We start from the raw sequence: 14,104 nt of genomic DNA on the forward strand, positions 1-14,104 counted from the left end.
GAATTGGAAAGCAAGCCCAGTGAATAACTTATTACCAATTTTGCATTTTCTCAATTTTCTATTTTTACTTTGTTTTAATAGAACCAAGATATTGTATTTATCAGGGACAAGGTCAATTGTAAGAGCTCTGTAAGGCTAATTTATCACCAGCGCCTTCAATCTCTATTTCTTTTTGGCTTGTTTACCCTGGAATACCAGTATTTTTAGGTGTACTTTCAACCCTCAGGGTTTTCCACTCTGGCACTGTAGCTGAAATAATATCCTTATTTTCCTCCTTAGGTGAGCTAAAAATTAACCTTCCTATTTGGCAACTGAGAGCTGATTCAGTCAACTAGTCTGTTGAATGGACTTTGTCAAGGTGTTAAGACAGGCTCATCCTAGAAATAGAGGAAGAATAGTATTAGGTGCAGAAGGTAAGTCCTTTGTGAGGGTGGATGTGGTTAATATTGGTAAAGATTATTCAGATTCATGGAGAATGTGAGGAGATCTAGAATTTCTAAAGATAGAATTGTATTTGAATACAATTTGATCTTCTAAGTATTTGATGGTTAACATCTTACTTGTGAAGATGGAGAAAAAATATTTTACCAGTGGAAAGTGTGAGAGAATATTGTTGAAACCACAACATCATTGAGAAGATGCTTTACTAAGCCTGTCTCGGGGTGGAAGCTGAACTGCTAGGCTTTTAATGTGAGCTAAACTCTTTTGCTTGAGTCCAGGTGAATGCTTTGCTTGTTATACTAGAAAAAAGAAGAGAAAACTTGTGAAATGTGGGAGTGCAGCTAGTAAGATAAGAAAATGGGGAACTTCTACATGATGCCTTTGGTCCTTCCCTTGCTTGCTGAATCGGGTTACTAAGTTCACAAAATGCTTGAAGTTTTGGGGGTTAAGACATAGATCTTGCACTTAGTCTAATATTGGTGATCTGAGGCATCATGTCCCCACCCACCCGAAAACATGAGTTAGAACCATGAGGAAGTTAGTGGCTGAGAACTCACAAAAATCACAAGCCAAGCTCTTGACCTTTCCATGGAAGGAAGACCAACTAATTAGAAGGCAAGCTAAGTTTAACCAGGCCATAGGGAGCCAGTGGACCCCTGGATAGCATCTAAACAACAATAGTAAAAGTTATTTCTGCCTGCAGGTTGCAAGGTTCTATCTATTTTTTTGAAGACAAGAAACTGGAGACCTAAGTGTGTGACATGTTTTAATTCACAACACTGCACTTCTGGTCCAGAAATACAATGAAGGTAAACATAATTCATTCATGTACTTTTTCCAATAAGTGAGGAGAGTCCTGCAGATGAAGTGAGCTGATCCCATCCTGACTGGCTTATCAGTTCTGGGACTTTCTCTAAAGGTAAAGTGATCCAGGGTGGTCCTCAACCCTCATTCCAACTTGAAACTAATGTTTTTGATAACCGGCTGTTGTTCTTAAAACACTTTATCTCACATCTTTATCCTTTGGGCACCCTTATTTGTCCATCACTGCCCCTCTCTCAGGCCCTTTGTCTTCTGCAGTTCTCCTTCCTGGTTCGACCCAACCTGCTTTCCTTTCTCCTCCAAGTCTTTCCCTTCCTAAGTCCCTCTTTTGCAGTGAACCGATGTTCCTGAATCCTAAAACTACCCTGAATACTTCTACTTTCTGCCTTAACCAACTCCTCTCCTCTGTTATACTTCTTGGTTTGCTGCAACCTGGCTTCTACCCCAGTCTACTGGAAGCATTCTTACAGGAATGGTTGCATTTGCAATAGAAACTAACAATAATTCTATGAGTTAGTTACCATTATTCTCATCTTATCATGGAGATAATAATAGAACTGAATTCACAGGGTCTGTGTGAGCTTCCAATAGTATGCACTTAGTTTTCAAAGGACACTCTGTCAATTGAAATAGTCTCGCTCTGTCACCCAGGCTGGAGTGTAGTGGTGTGATCATAGCTTACTGCAACCTTGAACTCTAGGGCTCAAGTGATCCTCCCACCTCAGCCTCCAGAGGAGTTTGGACTACAGGCGTGCATCACCACGCCCAACTAAATTTTTTTTATGTTTTTATAGAGATGGGGTATCACTGTGTTTCCTAGGTTGTTCTAGAACTCCTGGGCTCAACCAATCCTCCTGCCTCAACTGCTCAAAATACTGGGATTATAGCCATGAGCCATGGCACTCAGCCTGTTGCTACTATTCTTATTACTATCATGTTGTTGTGTGTTTTAATTTTTTACTTTTTCCTTCTTTGGAAATGCTCTTTTTCCTTATTTCTGGAGCAAGTTTATTTTTGGATTTTCATTCTTCTTATCTGGACACTTCCTGTGTTTCCCTTATAGCTCTTCTTCCTTTACCATTCCTTGGAAATTTAATGTGTTTTGGAGCTCTTCCTGGGCCAAAGGCCGTAGAAGAAATATCTTCTTCTTTCACCATTTCTACTATTATCTACTTGTTAGTTATTCTCAACCCTTTACCTCCAGATGGTAACTTCACTGAGTTCCAGAATCATTCATGTAATCACTATTTCTCTATTTTTCCCATCTCAGTGAATGGAAACATTTGCCAGTTGCCCAGGACAAAAACTGGATATCATTAATGACTCTCCATCATATTTAATCAATCAATAAGAAAAGAAAGAATAAAAAACGTTGAGATCAGATTGCAAAAGGCCTTTAATACAGGGAATAAAATTTAGAAGTAGAGGACTAGAGATATGTGTAGCTGAGTTTGAGTCCTGGTTTAGTCTCTCACTGTTTAAGCTTAGACAACACAAACAAGAGAGAAAGAGAGAGGAACTTTCCTGAGCTGCAGTCAGTTTTCTGATTGACAGATTTGGGCAAATAGCATTGTTAGGAAGATTGAAGAAAATATACTGCAGGCACTTGAAACACAAAAGCTATTATTGTAACAATCTGTAGGTGATAGTTCCTGTTATCTGCAATTGTATTTCTATATTTATTGGAAAGTTAGAGACTATTGAACTAAAGTTGCATAGAAACAGATTATCCCTCTTCCCTGCGAGTATATAGAGACCTGCCTTGGGACTCTCTATGTCTATAGTGTAATCAGGAATTTAGTATAATGAAGACACTCTTAACTGGAGTAAGTGGCCCTGTGACTCCTGAGACATTCTCAGAGGTACTTAAGGATTTATGGAGATGCTTAACCTGCAATTTCTGCTTTAAGCCACATCTGGCCCAGCTGTGTTTCCAAACAGGGTGCTAGAGCCCTGTTAAACTCTAACTCGGAGCAACTCCTATTAACGGTAATTAAGCTCTTTACCACTTTAATAAACACAGAAAATATACTTTTAAAAGTCTTCACCAGCCTATTTATTTTGTTTTTAAGAATGATAACTCAGTTCCTTATTTGCTTTCCTTTTAGAGAGAGCCTATAAATTATATTACAGTTGCATTTTTAAATCTTTTCTATAAAAAAATTACAAATCATATGAGCCAAGAAATTATAACAGTTTGAAGCTGGAAGAAAGTAAATCTTCAAACGTTTTTGGGAATAGTATGGCTTGGTCTAATATTGCCTCTAAAGTTTTGTAATGAATCACTTTTCCATTGTCCTGGAGGATGGAATTTTGCCTGACTTCTGTTCAAGAGTATTCTGGAGTTAGTAACCTAACTACTAACTCATTTTTTGTCTCTTTGAGATATTTCTCCTGACAGTCTATATTTTCTTTTCTGAATTTCATATCTGGCCCTATTCCCTTGAACCAAACAAAATGACTAATTTCTTCCCCATTTTAACTTTTTTTGTAACATATGACCTGTTATTCTACTCCCAGTTTGTTCTACCTTAACCAAACTGTCCACATTTAGGGGCTTGAATCTTCCTTTATTTCCTTCATTGTTTTATTCTTGATTGTGTTACTGGTACTACTGATAACTACAGTGTAAAAAGCACGGAGTTTTCCAAGTTTGAAAATTAATTTGGTAGCTATCGTTGCCAAGGAAACTACTTTTACTGTATATCAGTTTTATTTAGCACATAGAGTCCACTATGAGATAGATTTAAAAGAATCACAGCCAAATTTCTTTGTCTCTCTATTATTTTTTTTCTCTCTGTAATTCAGAAAATTGGGCCTCAGTTCCAAGAAGAAGCTGAGGAAAATAATAACTTCCCTGAGCACCAACTTTAAATATACACATTGTTTATGAAATACCAGTGGTAAACTGAGACAGTCGCTGGTGAGATTCCTAAAATAGGAGCTGGGGAACCCATATTTAACACTGGATTACTGAATGAGCCTGTAAGGATTTAAGTTTTGCAATATTATTTATGTTTTATTTTACAATATGGTCTGTCTCAAAAAACTATACTCCATAAAGGTAACCCATTCTTTGGCATAAGAGCAGAACAGTTTTCCCCATAAATACATGCTTCCTGTTACTAAATTTTAGGAAATGTTAAATGATTATGAAAATGCTATGTAATTATATATTTGCATATTTATATTTATATACTACACTCATTAATTTAAAATTTACCATGCTTAGTTTTAAATTAGTTCAGTTAACTGACCAGATGGTAACAATGCTATTTCTGTCAAATCCTTAGGAGAATACTTGATACATCTAAGAAGATATATCAAACACACGTGAAAAGGATAGTTATTGAGTGCGGTGTCTTCTCATGAAACAAATCACTATTTTCAGCCTTTAGCAGCCCAGATTTTTAATGTATCTGCCTCAAATAGCCAGAGGCAGGCAGGATTAAAAACAAATGAGATCAGCCTTCTTCAGTTATCACTAAACACGAGTAGCTGTTCACCACGGGCAAGTGGCTACTTGCAAAGCGGAAGTCCCATCCTGCCATCCTCATCACACCTCCCTCCCTTTATTATTCCTGTTAATAGGCTTGCATGAATAGTCAGGCAGGGGAGATATTTTTGCTCACAGCGTCTATTTGTTTTTGCACAGATGACTATTTAGATAAACCAGCAGGTCCTTGTTAAAACTGTGAAGGAGTCGATATTTATCTATTTTCTTCCTGCTTTGACTCATCTGTGGCATACCCACCCACCCTTTTCTGACTACCTTCTGCCAATCCATTCCCCCTAATAAAACAAGAACATTACACTTTGATTGTCATACCTTCCCACCATACAATACAATTACCCCCAAGGTATTCGCCTTAATTTAAATGTTTACTTTTCAGTACCAGAAAAATTTCACTTCCCTAGCTGCTTTGTCACTGATACTTTCACATCTGTTTATCAGTGAGATGATGAGGAAATAGTTTATCTCCATTTAAAAAAGATAATACTTCTAAAAATATTTTTCAGAAGCTAGCAAACTGGAACCACTCAAGTGAATATTTCTTCCTTTCTCCTGCTTTCCCTTTTCTCCGAAACTCAAACATCTAAGTATTTGGGTAGTTTGTGGAAAAATCCACCCTCTAATTGTTTTTGCCTTGGTTTCTTTTTTTATTTATTTTTTTGAGACAAAGTCCCGCTCTGTTGCCCAGGCTGGTGTGCAATGGTGCGACCTCTGCTCTCTGCAACCTCGCCTCCTGGGTTCAAGCAATTCTTCTGTCTCAGCCTCCTGAGTTGCTGGGATTACAGGCACATGCCACCACACCTGGCTAATTTTTTTGTATTTTTAGTAGAGACAGGGCATCACCATATTGGTCAGGCTGGTCTTAAACTCCTGACCTCAGGTGATCCACCCATCTCGGCCTCCCAAAGTGCTGGGATTTCAGGCGTGAGCCACCGCGCCCGGCCATTTTTGCCTTGGTTTCTTAGAAAACTGTACAGGAGCGAGTAATGTTCTCTGAGCCTTTCCCTACTCCTGACCCAGAAACTACTTCTCAGGGAATGATAAACCTCAGATGTAACTGTTTACAGCCCCTTTCCCAGGAGCTGATGGATACACAGGAATATATCTTAGCGTCTAGTCTCAGAGTATTTTGACTGGGCCTTGCCTTTCTGTTGTCTCTTTAAATCCGTATACTCTTATATGCACCTACTCACTATTTGTTTTCTCATTTTTCTGTGCCAGACAACTAGCAGCATTTAATCAGTAGGACCTTGCTTCAGGTACTGTGCTGACACTGGCAGTTATAAGGACAAAAAAGAAAATTTGGTCCCACCCCCATGAAATTGACAGTATAATGGAAGACAGGCACATAAGTAGGTATTTAAAATGTCTTATACAATGATAGGAATAAATTCAGAGAGCTATGGGAGCTGACTTGATATGAGTCATGGAACATCAGTTAAAGCTAGCAAGAAAAGGGGGCAGAGAATTGAGGGGCATGGTCAGGAGGATCCTGAAGAGTGAAACAGCACATACAACTGCCTAGGAGGGGTGAGTCAGTGGGCAAATTGGCAGGAGTTGGAGGTATTTCACTATGGCTTAGGCTTTTGCATTTTACCATGAGAGAATGTCAATGTGAGGATGGTAATGATGATTAATTACTAATGTTCAAAGTAATTGCAGATGCTAGAAAAAAACTTTAATCTAGAATAGTTATACAAAAGTAATACTAAATATAGATATTTATAATAACTTTTATACTTTGTATCTAATTAGAATAGATCATGTGTGTTGAGAATCATGCTTCTAGATCTAAAAGGGACCTTGTGGATCAACTAAGCCACTTACTCAGTTTACAGATAAAGAAAACGAGGGTCAATAGTAATAAGTGACAATTTCAAGGTTGGCCTGCTAAAAGCAGAATGAGGATACTGGATTATTTAACATGTACACTATCAACTTAGTTGTAGTATAATTTTACTATAATCATAAACTCTATTTACATTTATTTCAATAAATGGTATTATTCATGGGGCACATTTACTTGTTCACCTTCAATTACTCCTATACTTCAATTGAAGTTTTCAGGGCTTTGGTTATAACATAATGATCAGTCATAGAGCCTATTTTATGTTATTCCTATTCCAGTTTTCTATATAGGAATTTGGATAACTAAAATACTTCCACTAAGTTTTCGGAGAATATGTGGACCATGACTTATCAAAATAAATCTGTACATATATAGAATAGTGAGAATCCACATAACACAATTCTGAAATTAATCAGTTCATTGTTGGGCTTTGTAAAGATAAAAGCTAGTGTTTGCATTATTTAAGCATTATCATCATTGGCAAATGTATTATAGTGTGCTCCAAACAGGATTCACCCTAATAGACAATGAGATAAATCATTTATTGAAGCAGTAAAGATAGTACTGCACTAGAGAGAACAAATGGAAATCTCAAGAGAAACTGAATGGGTATTACACAGGCTGATACCACAGTTTAATCCTCCCCTGTTCAATCACCAAATGCAAATGGAAAGTTGTTTTAAGGCAAAATTTAATCTCTTTTGCATCTGTTCTCTAAAGCCTTGTGTTAGACGGATATCTCACCGCAGAGCTGACATCCAAACAGGTTCAGAAGAATGCAAATCTAGCAGTAGAATGAAACCAAAGAACTCTGAAATTCGATTATTATTTCCTCCATTGTCATATTTCAGATTTCAATTTCCTGAATTGAGGAAGCAAGACAGCAAAATTCTCAATATCATCATTAGTGGAGAAGGTTACATAACTCCTGAAATGTCTTTTCCTCAGTAGAAGTATATTGAAAATCTAGAGAGAGAGGAACACAGGGCCTCAGTTACAGAATAACAGAATATCAGGTTTCTATCCTTGACTAGCCACATACCACATTGTTCAGTCTCAAACTATATGTACACACACAAAAAAGAAGACAAGAATAACACAATGCTTCTTTGTTAGATGGGACATTACCTTAAGTCCCAATTAAGTTTCCCAAAAGCTAGTCTGGACCATGTGGAAACCCCTTTTTGCTTTGGTAGAGGTGCTTTTTACCTAAAACCAAATTTTTTCAAGTGGAGTACTTTGTATTTCTTTTAAGCTCACTCTGAATCTCAACTCTTCACATTCCAACTGTGAGAAAAAGCTGGCCTAGAAAGAAAAAAAAAAAAACTGGTAGCAAGAAAGAACCGCAAAGAAGTGCAAAGGAGCTGGGACAGATGCTAGGACTCTTCTCAAGTGTGACCTCTTTGTAAGGCACTGGAGTGCTACCCTGCTGGAGAGGAGAGCATTCAGAGAGCCAGAAAGAAACAATTGTCTTCACGCAGGCTTCGTTATACCTGTAGTACTTTGGTCAATAAAATGTTCTTGGCATCTAACCATGATTATCCTCAGGGCAAGAAGCAGGAAGATCCTCAATCTCTCTCCCCTAAGGACTACTGGAGTACAAGATGTGATCAGCAAGATACCAATTAGTGGTTATCAAAATCTTCTGCCATCAAGTTTGTTTTACCGTAAGCTAAGTTTGCATAAGATCTCTAGCACTGGCTAGCATCTGGTGTGGGGGCCTGTGGATCACTCTTCCACCTACTTACTTCTGGAATTAGAAGCATAGGTTCACAGTATGTTGGAGTTGGAAGGGACCCTGGAAGGTAGTCTAATTTATTAAATGTTTGAATCCCTTTCACTCCATTCTGGCAAGGTGGTTATCATTACTCCTTGAATACCTCATGAAGAGTGAATGAAGGATGGAAAGATGGAAGGAAAAGAACATTGATTAATAGATACTATGTAGCAAGCTGTGTGCCAAGAAGTTGTACATATTTTATCATTTAAAATTTACATCAGTTTTGTGGATTATTTTATTTAATAAGTTTCAACAGATAAGAAGAAAAGTTCAACTTGCCAAGAGGTCCAAGTATAAGTAGTCATTCTAAGATTTGTTATCCAGTCTTTCTGGACTCCAAATGTCATTTTTTACACAGCAACTTTTACATTTTTAATCTGAGGAACACCGTTTACTTGGCATGTTTAAGGTATTGTTGAAAAAGGATAATGAAGCAATTTTGATAAACACTGAGACGAACACATCAGAATACCATGTATATATATTTTAAATCACAGTATTTATTGGGTAAGTGTTCTCTGTGTTTCTCTCTATTTAACGTTTGTTGACTGTTTATGAAGGCACTGTTCTAAGGATTTTAAGAGTGTTATTTCATTTACTATTCACTGCAGTTTTATCATTAGGTGATGTCATCACAGGCACAGGGGTTGATTAACTTGCCCGGGGTCGCCCTGTTGGTAAATGGTAAAGCCATGATGTTTAACCTAGGGTTACTCAGTAGTGTAAACTTTTAGCCACTACACTATACTGACCCCCTGGATGGTATTCTCTGTTTCCTTAGCTAAATGTACCACAAATATGAGGACTACTATTCCCTATGTCACCTCCAGTGCCCAAAGTAATACCAGAGAAAATCTTGAAGGATAGAAAATACCAATATATTCAATAGTATCCACAGAGGATAGCAGAGACTGTGATAGATACTTACTATTTAATATTTTATCAAGTGGCTGACCATTTTTAACATATGTTAATAGTTATATTTGCAGAAGAGAAAATTATTGTGATAAAAATTAAAAGCAGAATGCTTAATGTAACAATTATTTAAGGAAGCAAGTATTTTACTAGTTAACTATTCTTTTTGCTATGATTAAGAATTAATTTTAATAAAAATGGAGGCAAGTAATATTTAATTGGAACTTCTGAAAGATTATTTTAAATTTTGACTAAAAATGTGATACAAGTATTTTATAAAGTTAAAAAAATTCTACAATACAAAGGCAACTGCTTCAAATCTACTTTTATTTAAAATATAATTAATAATTATTATAGCAACTATTTGTTGAGCTCTTACTAGTTGCAAAGCACAATGAAAGTTGCTTTCAGAAAATCTCTATAAAGTTGCTATTTTATCCCTGTTTTGCAGATGAGGAATCAGGCCAATAATTTGTTTGTTTTGTTTTTTTAAATAAGTATGAGGGAGAGCTGGGAATCAAGTTCAGATCTCTTTGAGAGAGCACTTAAGTTTGTCTACGGAAGGATAATTGATGTCCTAATTGGGAGTGGAAGGTGCTAAATTTAGTTCTAAATGAAGTGTGTTTGTGGTTCATGTGAAACTTGCTGGTGGAGATCCTTAGTGGGAACTTGAAATGTGAATCTGGATTTAGGAGATTGTTTGATGAGTGCTTAGCATATAAATGGTGATAAAAACCCTGAGTTCAATTGTAAGAATCATGAGAAGTGTGGGAGCAGAAATGAAGATCAGACTCTAAGAAGAATGAACTCATTAAATTGTATACTTTCATATAGAACAATTGATGAATAATACTATGTACAGATAGTGTGCAACCAAAGAGAAGCTGGTTACAATATGCAATTCATGTTACATAAATATGTTACATAATTCTTTTATTCACAATAAAATATGCTCAGGAAAGAAAACATATGGGGTTTTAACTTTCACACCCAGTAAGTCTTCAGTAAAATAATAAAAACATAAAAGCTCAATATCTTTAATTCATTTTCAGTAAACCATATATAATCAAAGTAAAAACGTAGGTGTAGTTACATCAACCATGAATAGGAAACATAACTTAAAATTTCCAACCAACATCGGCGTGAGATAACCAAAAGAAAGAGGAACTCATTTTACAATATTTTTAGTTTTCAATGCAAATCGTAAAATAACAGCAGATCTCTTGCTCGAGTCTAGCCTAATCACAACACAATGGCCACAATGCTTCTTTAAAAATTTAAGTCAGATTTTCTTCCTCCTCTTCTTCTCAAATCCCTTAGTGGCTTTTCTGGCTATATCCAAAGTCCTTACATCTACCTATCAGGTCCCACGTAATTGGCTTCCCATTACTTCTCTGCCTTCTTCCCTTTCTCTCCTTCTTCTTCAATATTCTCCAGCTACAGTGCTGAGTTTGCTGTTGTCTCGAAAATGTCACGTGGGTTTTTGCCTGAGTGCCTTTCCCCTAGCTGCTCTAACTGGCTGAATTATCTTCCCCAGGTATCTGCTTGTCTACCTCCTGCACATCTTCAAGGCTTTGCTCACATGTCAGTTTTTTAAAAAGTCAGGGTAAGATTTATTTAAAAAGACCCAAACTACCACTACCAGTTGCCCCTTCTGTCTGTCTTCAGCCTTCATCCCCTTACCTTACTCAACTTTTTTTGGTACCATTAATATCTTTAATATACTATATAATTTATTTGTAGTATTTTATCAGATTTAAGAATCAACAATTTTAAGCCATTTTTATTTTATGTACAACTAAGGAAGAAAAAAAACTGCCTATGAAACCATGATATTCCATCAATGTTTAGATAAACCTAGGTTCTATAGATGTTAAAATGTGAAAAATTCATCTAGGACTTAATGAAATGCATATTTATTATGTCTCTTTTTTTTCTCCATTTCCCTATGCCAGAATGTAAGTCCATAATGGCAAAGATCTTTGTCGTTTTTTTTAATCCACTAATATATACCCCAGATGCTTAGAATAATGCTTGGCAAGTAATAGGTTCTCAATACATATTTGTTAAATGAGTTATTATTTAGAGAGAAGTCACCTTGGACTAAGTAAAAATCAAATAAGAGGAAGAATAGATGTCACCCAGAAATTATAAGCTGGTAGCAAAGGGGCTTAAAGATATTTCTTTTGGATGAATCATCTCATGACTTTAGATAATTGCCTTACAAAGTTGAGGATGAGCACAGTTATAGTAGTATATGAAAATGGTAAATCATGTTATCTACATTAATTTCTACATTAGTTATCTATTGCTGCATAACAAGTTGCCCCAAAACTTAGCAACTTAATACACATTTCTTACCACATACTTTTGTGGGTTATGAATCTGGGCCTCGCTAATAATATGGCAACTTGCTATATCGAAACATGCAAACCAAGAAAATAGTAGAGAGAATCTCTTGGCAAGATGAAAGTCATAATCTTTTGTAATCTAATTATGGAAACATCATTCCATCACCTTTGTTGTAGTCTATGGGTTAGAAACAATTACTAAATTCAGCTTACACTCAAAGAGACAGATTATACAAGGTCATGAACAGCAGGAGATGGGGATCATTGAGATCTATCTTAGAAGTCTGCCTACAACATTAGGTAAAGACATCCAAATTACATGTACAGGAAGGAGGGTGTGTTTGCCTATGGAAGTTCTAGGAAGATGCTTTAGTCGACACATCCTAGAGTACATATTGAAAGATGTTCTAAGTGGGCCTCTTCTCCCTCACTTTCCATCGTTAGTGGTGAGTTTCTGATATTAATCCCTCTCTGACCGTAGTTGATTGAATGATGGGCAGATACCTGACTCAAACCAGGCTGGTTAAATTCTGGCCAATAGATTTTGAATTCAGACTAACAAACTCAGTATTGCTCTGAGAGGTGCCATAAACTTGGGAATTGTGACTTGATAATCCTCTGTCACATGGAATGAGAAGCCAGAAAAAGATTTGCAGAAAGGAAAAGACAAAAATGTTTAGATAAACCTAGAGACAAAAAAAGTGTCTAATGGATTTCCCATTCACATTTTTAGCCATTTCTGTAATAAGTTTTCGTGAGATCCTTCTATTTTGTCACACATTTCCACTTTCTTTTAAACTAAAGCAATCTCAAGTTGGTTTTGTAACTCGCAACTAGAGTTCATACTAATTATCTCTTTAGAAAGACCTTCAAGATGCCTTTGTTACCATCACTGTGAATATGGCACACTGTGGTGCCATTCCCTGACAAAGGCATAGGAAAATCTTGAAGAGAAAAGAAGGCCTTGAGCCTTCAGTCTAAATTACAGCACAATTTAAATTCTCAGCAAAGTGGTTATTTTGTTTCTTTACTTCACTCTTTATAAGATTTTGAAAGAGAGCATGTCAAGCAGGAATAGGTTAATAGGTTTTTAAGACCCCCTGTGGAATTAAATAGATAGGAGTCTGAATGGTGGAATTGTCTCAAGGCACAACTAAAGCATAATGGCTTCTGTCTAGTCATCTCTTATGCATGCAATACATTTGTTTACTCAAAACTGGAAACAAAAGAAAAATAATATAATATATGGTTCTTAAAAATTGGCTTAAACTAACAAAATAATATTTGTAGGGTTGAATGCAAACTTTATCTGTAACCATGATTCTGTAAAGGTTTTTCAGATTTTCTGCACTGCAGGAAAAAAAAATCACAGAATGTTCTAGGAATCTGAAAATACATAGACTATAAAAGAATGAGTAATACATGAAGTGTTGTCTACATTGCCATTTCCATTTGAATTGTTTAATCAGCCTCTAATCTTTTTCCAAAACATTCTTAAATACCAAGTCCCCTCTCTAACCAATATTGAGCCAAAAACTGAGTTTGGAGCCATTGTACTAAAGTGTCAACTCTGTTTATTTTCTTTCTTTTATGTGTGTGGCTCATATTTTATGCTCAGTTGCTCTTATGAATACTAGGTGCCTATCTTTACATGCAGCAATCTTCCATATCTTTGGCCAGTGATTTCCAAGACAATGATAGCTGCATAGTATTGATTTGCTTTGATATTGTTGACCCAGAAGAGATCTTGTCAAAAAGGTCAGATTACATGCCAAGACAAAATAAAATACTGAGAAAGGCAATTTTAAAAAAAGAACACTTAGAACTCAGTGAGGTATGTTAGAGAACTTTTCCCATCATTCATATTCCCATTTAGGACAAAAGGGTTGTCCTTGGTGAAAGGGGTCAACTAAGCCAAGAACTGAAGTTTCAATGAACAGATCTTGTATTTACTGTGTGTTCCTGAGCAAGTTACTTCAGGAAAAAGTTTTTGTGGGAAAAAAAATCTCTGGGCTTAATTCACTGATGATTGACATAATCACATTAGTGGAGGAAATTTGCCATCTGTAAGTGGCATCCGCTGGGATGCGTAGGTGTGTGTGGGTTGCCCACAGGCCTCATGGGCAAGTTTCTGCTGAGCTGTCTTCAGCTCAGAGGCTAATTAAAGATGAGAAACTGCCATATTGAAATAGAGCCATGGAAAGATCAGAAAATATTATTAGCTTCATCATAAATCAAAATTGTTATGGAACATGGCAATATTACTTTAATACAATAGTATCTTGAAGCATATAATGAATTTCTGTAAATTCACAATTTTCTATCAACTTTCAGTGCTACCACCTTAGATTAGTTTCTGGTGATTCCACATATACATCACTACAGACATCCTAGTGGTTATACCGACCTTTAATTTCTGGTGTTTCTAGTGC

The 14,104-nt window shown here is 36.3% G+C and overlaps 1 long non-coding RNA gene across 2 annotated transcripts in view; it reads left to right on the forward strand.

Moving 5' to 3' along the window:
- Positions 1 to 326: 326 nt before the first annotated feature.
- Positions 327 to 14,104, forward strand: part of LOC107986297 (uncharacterized) — a 64,842-nt gene continuing 51,064 nt past the window's right edge. For both annotated transcript variants that reach the window (XR_001741778.1, XR_001741779.1), the window contains exons 1-2: positions 327 to 413; positions 1,145 to 1,250. This is a non-coding gene — a long non-coding RNA (uncharacterized LOC107986297). The remainder of the gene's footprint in view (positions 414 to 1,144; positions 1,251 to 14,104) is intronic.

This window comes from Homo sapiens, chromosome 4 (assembly GCF_000001405.40).
Source record: "Homo sapiens chromosome 4, GRCh38.p14 Primary Assembly".
In the NCBI taxonomy this organism is placed as follows: Eukaryota; Metazoa; Chordata; class Mammalia; order Primates; family Hominidae; genus Homo; species Homo sapiens.